Source organism: Homo sapiens, chromosome 7, assembly GCF_000001405.40.
Source record: "Homo sapiens chromosome 7, GRCh38.p14 Primary Assembly".
Taxonomy (NCBI): domain Eukaryota; kingdom Metazoa; phylum Chordata; class Mammalia; order Primates; family Hominidae; genus Homo; species Homo sapiens.
The window spans coordinates 55,018,985-55,033,255 of NC_000007.14; the positions used below are offsets into that span (position 1 = coordinate 55,018,985).

General features: G+C 45.0%; 1 protein-coding gene across 8 annotated transcripts in view, besides 1 other annotated feature; it reads left to right on the forward strand.

Moving 5' to 3' along the window:
* Positions 33-14,271, forward strand: part of EGFR (epidermal growth factor receptor) — a 192,612-nt gene continuing 178,373 nt past the window's right edge. For all 8 annotated transcript variants that reach the window (NM_005228.5, NM_001346899.2, NM_001346941.2 and 5 more), the window contains exon 1: positions 33-381. In NM_005228.5, coding sequence (NP_005219.2) covers positions 294-381 — 88 coding nt within the window. In that variant the 5' untranslated portion in view covers positions 33-293. The remainder of the gene's footprint in view (positions 382-14,271) is intronic.
* Positions 1,033-1,707: an enhancer, noted in NCBI's record as "H3K4me1 hESC enhancer chr7:55087710-55088384 (GRCh37/hg19 assembly coordinates)". NCBI's record gives its function as "activates a minimal SCP1, AML or CMV promoter by ChIP-STARR-seq in primed H9 embryonic stem cells {active_cell/tissue: H9 hESC(primed)}" and the evidence as "EXISTENCE:reporter gene assay evidence [ECO:0000049][PMID:30033119]".

Genomic DNA, 14,271 nt, shown 5'->3' on the forward strand with positions numbered 1-14,271 from the left:
CCTGCCTCCCCGCGCCTCGGCCCGCGCGAGCTAGACGTCCGGGCAGCCCCCGGCGCAGCGCGGCCGCAGCAGCCTCCGCCCCCCGCACGGTGTGAGCGCCCGACGCGGCCGAGGCGGCCGGAGTCCCGAGCTAGCCCCGGCGGCCGCCGCCGCCCAGACCGGACGACAGGCCACCTCGTCGGCGTCCGCCCGAGTCCCCGCCTCGCCGCCAACGCCACAACCACCGCGCACGGCCCCCTGACTCCGTCCAGTATTGATCGGGAGAGCCGGAGCGAGCTCTTCGGGGAGCAGCGATGCGACCCTCCGGGACGGCCGGGGCAGCGCTCCTGGCGCTGCTGGCTGCGCTCTGCCCGGCGAGTCGGGCTCTGGAGGAAAAGAAAGGTAAGGGCGTGTCTCGCCGGCTCCCGCGCCGCCCCCGGATCGCGCCCCGGACCCCGCAGCCCGCCCAACCGCGCACCGGCGCACCGGCTCGGCGCCCGCGCCCCCGCCCGTCCTTTCCTGTTTCCTTGAGATCAGCTGCGCCGCCGACCGGGACCGCGGGAGGAACGGGACGTTTCGTTCTTCGGCCGGGAGAGTCTGGGGCGGGCGGAGGAGGAGACGCGTGGGACACCGGGCTGCAGGCCAGGCGGGGAACGGCCGCCGGGACCTCCGGCGCCCCGAACCGCTCCCAACTTTCTTCCCTCACTTTCCCCGCCCAGCTGCGCAGGATCGGCGTCAGTGGGCGAAAGCCGGGTGCTGGTGGGCGCCTGGGGCCGGGGTCCCGCACGTGCGCCCCGCGCTGTCTTCCCAGGGCGCGACGGGGTCCTGGCGCGCACCCGAGGGGCGGGCGCTGCCCACCCGCCGAGACTGCACTGTTTAGGGAAGCTGAGGAAGGAACCCAAAAATACAGCCTCCCCTCGGACCCCGCGGGACAGGCGGCTTTCTGAGAGGACCTCCCCGCCTCCGCCCTCCGCGCAGGTCTCAAACTGAAGCCGGCGCCCGCCAGCCTGGCCCCGGCCCCTCTCCAGGTCCCCGCGATCCTCGTTCCCCAGTGTGGAGTCGCAGCCTCGACCTGGGAGCTGGGAGAACTCGTCTACCACCACCTGCGGCTCCCGGGGAGGGGTGGTGCTGGCGGCGGTTAGTTTCCTCGTTGGCAAAAGGCAGGTGGGGTCCGACCCGCCCCTTGGGCGCAGACCCCGGCCGCTCGCCTCGCCCGGTGCGCCCTCGTCTTGCCTATCCAAGAGTGCCCCCCACCTCCCGGGGACCCCAGCTCCCTCCTGGGCGCCCGCGCCGAAAGCCCCAGGCTCTCCTTCGATGGCCGCCTCGCGGAGACGTCCGGGTCTGCTCCACCTGCAGCCCTTCGGTCGCGCCTGGGCTTCGCGGTGGAGCGGGACGCGGCTGTCCGGCCACTGCAGGGGGGGATCGCGGGACTCTTGAGCGGAAGCCCCGGAAGCAGAGCTCATCCTGGCCAACACCATGGTGTTTCAAAATGGGGCTCACAGCAAACTTCTCCTCAAAACCCGGAGACTTTCTTTCTTGGATGTCTCTTTTTGCTGTTTGAAGAATTTGAGCCAACCAAAATATTAAACCTGTCTTACACACACACACACACACACACACACACACACACCGGATTGCTGTCCCTGGTTCAAGTGTGCCAAGTGTGCAGACAGAACATGAGCGAGTCTGGCTTCGTGACTACCGACCATAAACCCACTTGACAGGGGAAACATGCCTTGGAAGGTTTAATTGCACAATTCCAACCTTGAGCTGCGCGGGTTCCAAGAGCCAGGCCCGTACTTGCTGTTGATGTCATTGGCTTGGGGAGTTGGGGTTTGGTGCCCAGCGCGGTCGTTGGGGGAGGGGCAAGGCATAGAACAGTGGTTCCCAGACCTTGCTGCACATTGGAATTACCTGGGATTAAAAAAAAAAAAATCAAAACAAAAACCAGTGTCTGGCTCCCGCCCCCAGACATTCTGATTTAATTGGCATGGGGCAAGACCTGGACTTGGGATTTTTTTTAATGCTCTTCATGTGATCTGTTGGGCAGCCAGATTTGGGGATCACTAGACGGAAGAAGGATTGTTAAAGTCTCCGGAGATGTTACTTGCCAATGCTAAGAGCTCTTTGAGGACATCTGGAATTGTTACAATATTGCCAAATATAGGAAAGAGGGAAAAGGTAGAGTGTGATTCCAATAATAAAGGATTCCGCTTTTCATTGAAGGAACTGGTGGAAAGGTTTCTTCTCTGCTGAGCCTGCAGGCCCGTCCTGCCTGCCTGGGGTGCCCGGGAGACGCGGGCCTGCTCCGGAGACTGCTGACTGCCGGTCCTGTTAGTCAGGTGTCAGCCCTGTCTCTGCCGAAGAGACTCTTCTCTTTATTTTAAATTAAACCCTCAGAGCACCACCAAAGCATCACTTTTCTCCCTCCATTGGTGTTCTCATTCTTTGATGTTACTTGTTTGAACACCACTATTAGTAGTTGGAGATTTGTTCCTGAGAAAAATATAAATACCACTTAATTTGCCTGTTTGTCCCGCATTCACTCAAAACAGAATGCTCCTGAAGACAAGAGAGAGAGTAGGAGAACAGACGCTATTCCATTACAGTAACATAAAAGACTGGATTTTCAGGGGCAAATTATTAAAATAGGAGATGAGCTCTTTTAACAGAAATTTGTTTAAGGCCTGTGTCTATCAAATTCAGTGGATTTTATTCAAGATGCACTTTGTTTAGTGGGAGTTTTGTTTGGTTCTGGGACATGCTAACTTCTAGACTTGCTGCTCTTAGAGGTAATGACTGCCAGACACCATTTCATGAGTCCTAATCCCCACATTAAGCATAAGAGGTGCACACTCTCCTCCTATGGGGGAAACTGAGGTACGAAGAACTAAAGTGACTTTCCCACAGCTGGTGGGAGGCAGACGGGAAATTCACACCAGGGGCTTCCAACTCCAGATCCCTCTCTCAACTTCCAAACTCCACTGCCTTGTCCGAGTTCTGGTTTCAGGAGATCCAAATCAGGTGTGTGCAAATGTCTAATGTCAGAGCTGGCAAGGGGAAAGGGCCCAGGGAGCCGGCTCATGACGATGAGCCTGTCTGAAGCTTCAACGCGGGCTGTCCGGCAGTCTGCATTCCTGCCGAGTTCCTCAGCCCTCTGTTGGGTCACCTTCCATAGAGGCAGCTTAGTCCTCAGTTCAGTGAGCATGGAGTGGAGACTGCTTGAGGGGTGCTGAGCAAAGCCCTGCCTCTTACAGGATGAAGGTGCTCTCCAGAAGGGACACTGGAAAGTATTCCAAGGCGAGTCGAATTCCCAACTGAGGGAGCTTTGTGGAAATAAGCCCGCCCAGCCCCACTTCTGGAGACGTTCCCATTCAGTAGGTCCGAGCTGTCTTAAAGAGAAACCAAAGTGGGGATATTAATGGTATCCAAAGTGAGATCTACCCCACCCTCCCTCCTCAAAGGAGGTCAGATCAAGAAAGCCCAAGCCCGGCCTGGCAATTGGGACCTTTCTTCTCACTCCAGCCCAGGGTGAAGGTGGACAAGTCACTTTGACCCTTCAGGCTTCTGAGCTGTTGTTTCTGAATTCAGTGAATATTTACTGAGTGCATAGAATATGCTAGATATTCTGGGCTAAAGGTTGAAGGGGGGGTGAGTTTTAAGGGTTTCTGCTCTTGCTTCCAGATTGCTTTCAAATCTGGAAAGGACACCAGTGGTTTGTGTGTTAGACCCACACTGCCGTAGCACAGAATACAAGAAACTGGCTGAGAGCTCCAATAGGCTTTTAACAGTAATTTCTGGCTTCACGTATTTAGTTTCATAACTCATGATTTTTCAAAAACTTCTGGTTTGAAGACACCGATTGCCGAAAGTCCATTGTGCTGCATAATTACACTTGGTCCACGTGACAGCACTAACATGTTCTGAAATGTTTTTAGAAGTAGTCTCAGCAAAGATGAAGGATTCCTCCCTGTTTGAAAAGAAAATATTCTTTGTTTTTTCTTTGATCTAAGCTCTAAGACTAGCAGCTAGCATCTGAAACTTTTTTGACGAGAGTGACAAACCAACTCTAATATTAAAGGCAATTGATGATTATGGGCACTGAAGGGAAGGTAACCCCAGGCTGGTGCCCCGGAATAGGGATGGGTCACAATGTTGAGGACATTTCGCCTGTTGCAGAACCCACCTGCAACACAGTGTGGCCCTTGCCATGTGACTTGTGTGTGTGCCTGTGTGTCTGTGTGTGCGTGTTTTAATTTTGACTTCATAAGTACTCTAGTTATGAGCTTATTTAACATTGGGTTTTACTAATAGGGGTATGTGTTGAGAAAATTTCAAAGTTTTAGAATATGGTTCACCCACATGTTGCTTCCCTGTAAATATAATTTTTAAAACCAGATTCTGGGCCGGGCATGGTGGCTCACCTCTATAATCCCAAAACGTTGGGAGGCCGAGGCAGGCGAATCATGAAGCCAGGAGTTTGAGACCAGGCTGACCAACACGGTGAAACCCAGTCTCTACTAAAAATACAAAAAAAATTAGCTGGGCGTGGTGGCAGGTGCCTGTAATCCCAGCTACTCAGGAGGCTGAGGCAGGAGAATTGCTTGAACCCAGGAGGCAGAGGTTGCAGTGAGCCAAGATCGCACCATTGCACTCCAGCCCGCGCGACAGTGTGAGACTCCATCTCAAAAAAAAAAAAAAAAAAACAGATTCTGTTCCTCAGATCCATTCCATTTTTGTTTTCCTTTATCACTTATGGACATTTGAAATTATGGTAATAAACATTGTTAGTCTCAGTTAATTATTACTGGTTTATTCTTGAACCACTAATCCATAGAGAATAGAGTGTAAATCTTAACTTGTTCCTGTAGGCCATCCCCATTAAACATCATAGTGTTTTCTCATTCGTTCTTTTTCGTTTTCCTCCTACAGGAATGAATTTTCTAAGAAAATTCCAGCAGTTGGCTCTTTGGACGACATCTCTAGATTGTCCTCCATTGGGCCCATAGGCACAAGCTGGCCAGTTTGAATTTGGGCAAGAATCCAGGCATTGGAACTTATTCAAATAACTAGTTTGCCTGTAATTTTCACTTTTTCAGAGTCATCTGATAAAGCTTTCTTGCTACACATTTAGATAGATACACTCAATCCAGTTGTCTAGAAAGTTCCCTGAGCCAGCTGGGAGCAGGAGGGGTAGTTGGGGCCAGGAATATTGGGGGTGTGTTTACTGAGCCCCTAGAAAGTAAGTGCTAGATTTGACATTTCAATCCCTGAAGGCCCTGAAGTTCAGTATCAAATGACTGGTCCTGTGGACTGAGCATCTGTGAATTGCATATGCTTAGAGTAAATTTTACTCCTACCAGTTTCAGCAGCTTGCTTTAGCAAGCAGTATGGAAACACTAACATGGGGGAGTAGAATTTCTCTCTCTGATCCAAGTTTTATCTCATTCTGGTGGGTTTTCAAGGAGAGACTCGGAGTCCAAGTGTCCTTTCTGAATATATCTGGAACTTCTCATTAACAAAAGACTCAAGTTATAATTTAGGGGACAAGGCACCCAATGAGAATGCCTTGCAGGCAGCCCTAAGTACACCTGCAATTACACCATTACTAGCGCGGCAGCACACATGGCCCTGACTTAGTTTAAATAATTACGTAAGTCAACCATGATTGTTTGCCCTTTGCATAGAAGGGCAAGTATTGGTACCTGTTACAACTTAGGCTTTTTTTTCTTTATGTTTGAGCCATGATGAGTGATTTACACTGTTGCATCCATATGTTGAGATGTAAGAATAAATTAGACTTGGTAATTGCCCTTAAGTGTCTGGAAGTCAACTGGGGAAAGAGAGCTAGAGATAATAAGTGTGAAACAATGTCACAGAATCAATGACGGAACTCTTCCCAGGACAAAGGATGACTTTTGAGTTCAGTCTTTGCCTTTAATTCTACATGGGGAGGAGAGCACGTTTAGCCACAAATGGAAGGGATTACTCATTTGAGCTATTTGGTTATATGATTATTTCCCCAGAGAATAGGATGTGCAGGGCATTACACAAGCAGTGCCAATAGCAGCAAAGTTCTTGAGAGTGCTAGTAATTCAAATGGCAGGAAGAGAAGGAATAAATGGTAAGGCTACCTACAGTTCACAGAGAGCTCCATCCTCACTGTGGCTTTGGATTTTGTCCTGTGTGAAAGAGAAGTGACTGTGAACTGACATGCTGTGTTTGGTGTTTTAGAAAGATGGCTGCAGCAGCGGTTTGGGGAATGGACTGCAGGAGTGGCATTGGAAACAGGAAGGTTCATGACTATTGCCAGAGACAGAGGATGAAGCAGGAGCAAGGAAGATTCAGGACAGGGGACTCCGGGGCTGATCAGGAGGCAGAACTGGTTGATAAGTATATGTAGCAGCATAAGAAAGAAAGAATCCCAGATTGACACCCAGGCTTCTCACTTGGAAGCCTGGATAGATACTGAATGCAATCACAAAGGCTGGGAAGTCAATGGGACTGCAGGGAAGGGAAGGGAAGGGAGGAGAAGAGGAAGGGCAGGAGGGTCCAATATCAATATTCAGCTTTTAGATGTGTTGAGCTTGAAGTGCTCAGATGGAGAAGTCCAGGAGGCAGTAGAATACGGTGGTCCAGAGCACAGGAGAGCAATGTGGCTTGAGTTGTCATTTGCTCACATATTTCCGTGTCAGTTACTTGTCTTAGATCACAGAACAAGTTCTCCTCTCACAGTTTCCTGGCTCCACCTGTCTCATGCTCACCGTCAGCATCGAAATTGAGCCACACCAGGGGTTCTGGATACCAGCTTCTCTCTAGGTGAGGCTGCTATAGTCAGCAGCTGATTAGTTGCAGTTATCAGCAACTGGTAATATAATATATTGTGCATATAAGTGTACCAGAAGTCATGTTTATATATTGCTGCAAATACTCGGAATGGGGATCTCTTGTTCCCTGCTTAAGACCACATCACATTACTTGGTTTTGTACGCTAGTGGCTGAACCAAAAAAAGTAGGAGATGATTTTTTTTCTTTTTTCTTAAAGCAGTAGCTTTTGAACCTTGACCATGCTTTCTAACCAGCTGAGGGGCTTTTGAAAAAGAGGGTGCCTTACTGTGCCCCAGACCAGGACAATCAGTATTTCTGGGGAATGGAGCCTGGCACACACACATTTCTTAAAGCTCCCTTGGCAATTCTGAGGAGTGGATTACATGTTGTATGTAGCTCGTAACGAAAGAAATCTTGTCTTTGCTCTCAGACCCCCATTTCTTACTCATCTCATGAGCTCCTTCGAGATCCAGAAACAGTTGCATATTTCATTAGTAAATCAGTTCCAGAGTCACATTTTATTTCACAAGTTAGTCCATTAAAAGTTTCCTGCAGTGAGGAAATAGCCAGAAAGAACACTCCACCCCTCCTCCTTTTTATAACTATAGGGTCTGGCTCGACAGAGCAGGAGCATCGCCATCTTGGACAAGCCCCTCATTCTAAAGTTCACCTTAATAAAAAACTGCCTAAATTCAAACTGCATCAGCCTAATGGCTAAGGTCAGCATGACCATAAACCACAAATAACATCTCCAACCGGAAACATTCGAAACTCCTCCTCGACCAGAGACATGCTAGTCCCGAGATAACCCCCCTCCAGCAGGGAAGATGCCAGTCTCGGGATAACCTCTCTCTGGCCGGAAAGATGCCTGCCCCAAGATAAACTTGCCTCCTCCCAGAGATATTCCAACCCTGCCATAAAACTTCTCCCTCAAACAGGAACATTCCAAAATTCTGATAATCTCCCTCACCCTAAAACCAATATATACTCCTAGTCTGTAAGAGAAAGCGCTCTTGACCAAAATTCACCAGGAGTGCCTCCCAGGTTTTAACTAAAGAAAACCTCTCTTTAACTGCCAAAAAAAAAAAGGGAAAAAAAAAAGCTTTCTGCAGTGGCTTTCAGCGGGCCCAGCATGGCAGCAGCACCTGAGAACCTGTTGGAGATGCACACTCTTGGACCCCACCCTGGCCTCTGAGTAAGACACTGGAAGGGCAGGCCCCGGTCTGTGCACACAAGTCCTCAGGGAGATTCTGACTGATGCATGCCAGATTTTGAGAACTGCTGATATACTCCAGGCACATCGCATGCTGGGATCTAGATACACCAAGGGAACAAAATAACTGCACTTGTCCTCTGAGGACCGACTTACCTTTTGGAAGGGCTGAGAAAGAGAGACACATACAAGATCACTCCCTGTAATGCAATGTTTTATAACAGATGTGATTTGGGATTTCAGTGGGAGCCCAAAAGAGGGACTGACTAATTCAGCCTCTGTGACAAGGGGAGTTTCTCAGAAACAGAATGCTTAGCTGGGCCTCCAGGCACAGGGACAGGAATGAGGAAATACTTGTAGGCCCTGTGCTCCTTCAGCAAAACCCTCAGTTTCTTGTTATTTTTATAAATGCAAACATCTTATTAAAGTAGATGCTAAGGCATTAGAATTTCCTGCTTTATTTTTCTAAATGACCATGAGGAAACCTGGAATGTCAAAGATAAAGTGCAACACATTCTGCATTTAAAAATTAAAATGATCCTTTTTAAAAGTAGCAACCAGATGTGAAAAATTGGACTGGAGTCCAGGTTATAGTTGATAGCTTTAACTTTCTCCCCAACAGCAACAGCACAATTTTCCCTAAAATGTGTTATGAATAAGTAAAATGACTACTTCACATCCTTTAACTCTTCCTACAGAAATCTAAGAGAGAAATGAAACAAAAGTTTGCACAGTTCTAGACACGATAAATACATGTGAAATCACACAACTCAGAAAATGTCCCTTAAATTAATTGAGCCATTGGTACTTGTGAATTAGAAGAGACATCTATGTTCTGATCCACTGTTGAAAGCTGTACAATGTTACCTATTTATTTGCAGACATCCTTTGGAAACAAATAGGTAGATTTGCAACAAATAAAGAGTGGAGTACAGCTGCTGACATTACCTTGTATATTCATGCCTTTATGTAAAAAAAAAAAAAAAAATATATATATATATATATATATATATATATATATACACACACACACACATATGGAGGTAAAGACCACTGCTTGCTTTGCAGTTGTTTTAAGAGCATTCATGAAGGATTTTATTTTATAAGCAGAAATGTGATATCTGACGATTTTACCACTACATGCTTGCAGGCCAGTGCACAGCAGATGACGTCATGATTGTTTTAGCAGTCCTATCGTTTTACTTATGATGTCATTACAACCCTTTGCTAAAATTTCTTTCCTTTACTCCAGGTTTTGGATAAAATTGATGCATTGCACATAGTCTCTCTGATAAGACAAACTGGCATTTGTATGTGAAAAACTGTGCATGTTTTAGTGTCTCTGCTGATACTCAAATTATCCATTATTTTAGTGCTGGAATAAAAACAAACCACTTAGTGAATTTGTGCAGGTCCTTAAGGACAGGCAAAGGTGTCCTGAGATTTTCTGATCATTGTATACCAAATTTTAGAAACTTTTTCAAAAACATTTTTTTAATTTCAAAAACCTGGTTTTGTTTATTTACCAGCAATCATTGAATACCTGAAAGCTTTCAGGAGATTTTATTACAATGGTTTCTATTCACTTACAAAATTATCTCCTAGTTCATTCTCATACACTGTAAGCCATTGTAAATGCTTCAAATTGTGCCGAACAAGATAAACTAGACAAACTATTTTAAGTTTGTTCTAGTGCTAACTTGCAAGATCTAATGGCTCCAACTAGATTTTTAAAATAAAGTATATTTTAATATATTATTAGAAAGTTAAGCAATTATCTGTTTATAGGTAACAAAAACCCTGGAACCCCAATGTCAGATGTCATCCACTTTTGATTAAGTCCAAACATATGACAGATAAACAAAAGATGGTTGGCTGGGCTCAGTGGCTCATGCCTGTAATCTCAGCACTTTCAGAGGCCGAGGCGGGCGGATCACAAGGTCAGGAGTTTGAGACTTGCCTGACCAACATGGTGAAACCCGCCTCTACTAAAAATACAAAAAAAACAGCTGGGTGCGGTGGCACGTGCCTGTAGTCCCAGCTACTCAGGAGGCTGAGGCAGGAGAATCACTTAAACCTGGAAGGCAGGGGTTGCAGTGAGCTGAGATCACACCACTACACTCCAGCCTAGGCGACAGAGCAAGACTCAGTCAAAAAACAAAAAAAAAGTGGTCATTGGAGAATTATTGTGTCACCTGTTGTTTTTTAATGTACTAATTTTGAGAGGCTTTTAAATAGAGTGCACTATAGAACTTTTTCTTGGCTTCAATTTGCTACAATGTTAATAGAGAATCAGAAACCTTATCCTTATAGATGTTTCTTGATTTTTTTAATTTCTGGTGACATTTATGAGTGAGAATAGTGTATTGCCCTGTTTTCTTTCTTACTCCCCTTTCTTCTTCCTTCCTTGCTTTCTTTCTTCTTCCCTTCCTTCTTTCTCTTCCTCGCTCCTTCTTTTTTACAAGCTGTTATGAATTAGCCTTCACAGAGAAAGAAAAATTTTTATAAATAACTGGAAATGAAACTTTGCAAAGGACTGCAGATGAAAAACTTTGTCAAATGACTGTAAAAATATACTATATAATTTTCAAAAGTTAGAAAGTACCAAACACACTCAGTATTCATGGTTATACAAGTATGCATACACATGTATTGCTCCCTGAAAAGTGGTGTTGTTAAGGGAGTTTTTCTTAGTACGCGGCTTAACATATTTTTTTCTGTAATTTGTTGTTAGTTATAATGGGGAGAGAAAACAGGTTAGAGTCTCCCCTCTCAGTTTCACCTTCCATAAAACAGCTAAACTAGACGATCGTCAGACTCCTTCCAGCTGAAAACATCTGTAAAATTAAAAACAAATCTAAATGTATGCAAGATATGTATTTAAACATGCTGGTAATAAGTGTGCTGTCCCTATAATTTAGATGCTAAAACATTGATGTCATAATAATAACAACACCTCGCATTTGTACAGCACCTCATAGTTTACACAATGCCTTAACATTCTTCTCTCTCAGCCTCCTACAACCCCACAGGATTGGGATAGCTTTCCAGATTGGGAGGTGAGGGACCCAGGCTCAGAGCGATTCTGCTGTTGTCCGTAATCACCAGGCTGGTGATCAGTGGGCACTGGGTGCTCTCCTGCTACACAGCACTGTCTCTCAACATGCAGGTCAAGGTTACTTATTCCTCCTTCAAGACGTCATTGGGTTTTTTAGCTATGGATGCCCCATCACTTTTAGTTCTATTTGTGAATCAAAGGCTAAATAAAGTATTCCTCAAAATTTGTTATACTTCTGTTACTAATGCTTAATGTCCCTCACAATTTCTGTATATTTCTGTGTATTTCTGCTCTGTTTTGGTTCCTTTCCCAGGTTTCTTTTTTGTTATGAAGTAGTTTTTAGACTCAAGTCTCTTCTGTATGTGTTATAACTGCCCATTCCATAAGATACAGGGCAGTGAATTTGTGAGCCTTGAAAATATTTACTTTAGAAATGAGAAGTATGACTTTTCAACGTTGTGTCATCAACTTCTGTAAATTTTCCAGACCTATAAATACTTGCAGAAAAAAAATGAAAGGAGAAGGCAACTTGATTTAGCAGTTGGGTCAGTTAGCAATGCCTATGGCAAGCTGTAGTAATTCCCTTACATAGATTTGTAAGACTCATTTCTATGATTTAAATGAAGGCATACACTTAACCTCTTTAGGGTGTGAAACAGCTTTTACAAAAAGAGACAAACTTAAGAAACAGTGTGGCCCTCCAAGAGTGTTCATTTTCCATATCATACCATTTGTAATAAGCTATTCTGGCTGGGATTTACTTGCAAGCATTGGCTTTTAAGAAGAGATGGTTTCACACATCAAATTATTCACTTGGAGGCACTTTCTGGGTTGAAGGAATGGAATGGAGAGTGCGGCAGTGAGTAGATCTCTCAGTGACGGTGATGTGCCTCTCCCAGAAGAAATTTCAAAATGCAGTGTTCATTTTCCTCCACAAGAAAGGAAGAAACTGTTTTGTTATTGTTTATTCCTAACATAGTGGAAACTTTTCAGTACTCTGGCAGAAATTTCCCAAAAGCAATTTTCTATTTCATGATTATAAAGTAGCAAAGGAAAAAGTCCTGCACTCCAGCTGAGCAATGGATCTCCAGTTGTTATCTAGGTGCTGCAGGTTTAGAGAGGATTGCCAGGAGAACACATCGATTTTTCAGGCCTGTGATGACGTATCTCTTGTTGAATAAGTAAACCCTTCCAGTAAACAGACAGTTAGTATATTGATTTCAGGGTGGCTTTAGCCACTGAACCTGTAAGTCTTGCAAAGGTTACTTGGGCAAAAGCATCATTATTTTACCTTCAGTCAACAAAAATCTACCTGGCCAAGGCAGAACAGAAAGTTCAGCAATTTGATGAAGTGGGACAACATGAAGAATCAGGTGAGTTGCCTACTTTTTCACTTCACTTTCCACCTTTAGAGATTCTTGTTTAGATGCAGAGTAGTGACGTGCCTGGTGTCAGGGAGAGAGTTGAATGAGAAAAGTCCCAGAAGGGCAGAAGACTTGGGTGATTATCTGAGTCCATCTTTCCTTATCACATGACAGAGTTCTTGAAGTCTTGGCTAGGAATTCTAGGCTTTTAGATTCTTTGGGCAATGGCTACTAAATGTTCATAATGTTGCTCAGTTGCAAAAACAAGACATTCAAACTATAGCCAGGGAGATAAGTAGTCACGAACTCAAGGCCTAAATTCTGCTGATGGAGCCGATGAGAATTGGGTGCTAAGGCAAAGAGAGTTGCCAATATTATATTCTTCGGGGTTTTTTGTTTTTATTCGCATTTTGGAAAAGGAAAATATTAGCATTCCTCTGACTTAATATTGAGAAGACATTGGGCACTCTTTTTCCTCCCACACTTGTCTTCTTTCACTAGGTGACAAGGGAAGAGGTAGCATGAGGTGGTGGTCACAGGTGAGAGGGGCTGTTGTGAGCACAGGCATGTTGACTGCACATTGGTCACCTAGTAGAAGTTTTGCAGGCTTGGTGACTTCTGAACACTGTTTTCAAGGTTGATTTTTAGTTGAGAGAACCTCTAGGTACCACGTAATGTTATTAACAGTAGTACTGATCTCACAATCGCCCTATGTCCCATTCACAAGATGTTCTGCCAAGCCATAAAAGGCCCAGTTAAGTTTAAGAGAAGTCTCAAAAGTAACAGATGATAACTAATTAATACCCAGTGATTTTGAAATGTAGACATCAAACATACCAATTCAGTGGTATCATCCTTAGAGGCAGACAGAGGATGATTAAATCATTCAGCCCATCTCTGTCTGAGGACGCAGCTTAGCACAGCATGGTGGAGGCTAAATGGGCCTTAAGGGAAAAAATGATATCTGAAGATGCAATTTATTTCAAAAAGAGTTTGCTCCCGTGAATTTTCACTCTCTATGTAGAACGGCACCAGCACACACTTTTCCTGAGCCTTTGCATGTGTGGCAGGCAGCGGCCTGGCATCCTGGGGAACTGAATGAGGACGCAGATGACCCGGACGTGTTCACAGTTTGACACATCTGACTCCCAGATCAGGGACAGCTAGCTTTGCTGGCTGGTTAAGTTGATGATTCCATCTTTGCCTGGTTCTCTGACTGTCTCATGCTTTCTGTTATTACTATTTTGCAGCAGATATTTCTGCTCATTTTTCAATCATATATGCATCCTGGATGGCATAGAGTTGATTCTCCTAACAAATCAGTGTCCCTTTGTATTTTTTTCTGGCCATAAGATAGAATATATATGTCATTTATTAAAAATGGAGAAAATGTTCAGGAGTTTCTTGACTCAGAGAGGGAAAAGGGATACTCAGGGCACTTTTTCAGCCAGGAATTTACTACCTTTGCAGGGTAAAGGGGACTCACCACGCTGGAAGTCAAAATAAGCCACCAGTGCCAAGTGTTCAAAGCCCTTAGAATCACAATGCTCTTAAAGCAAAGTCTTCAACAATGCTTGAAAACTTCCACTGGTTCTCAGTATGTCCAAAATTGTCATGTCTATGAATGATTTTCTCAATCTGAAAATTTTTATAGCAGGCTAAAGAATGAGATAGGTCAGTGTGATTCTAGAACTAATCATTAACATTCAATAGATGACTATTTTATTCTAGAAAAAGCAGCAACTTTCTATTTACTCTCTATTTTGAGGGTAAATTCTCTGTAAGTAGAAAAAGCAAAATGTGGACATGGGACTAACATATGAATATAC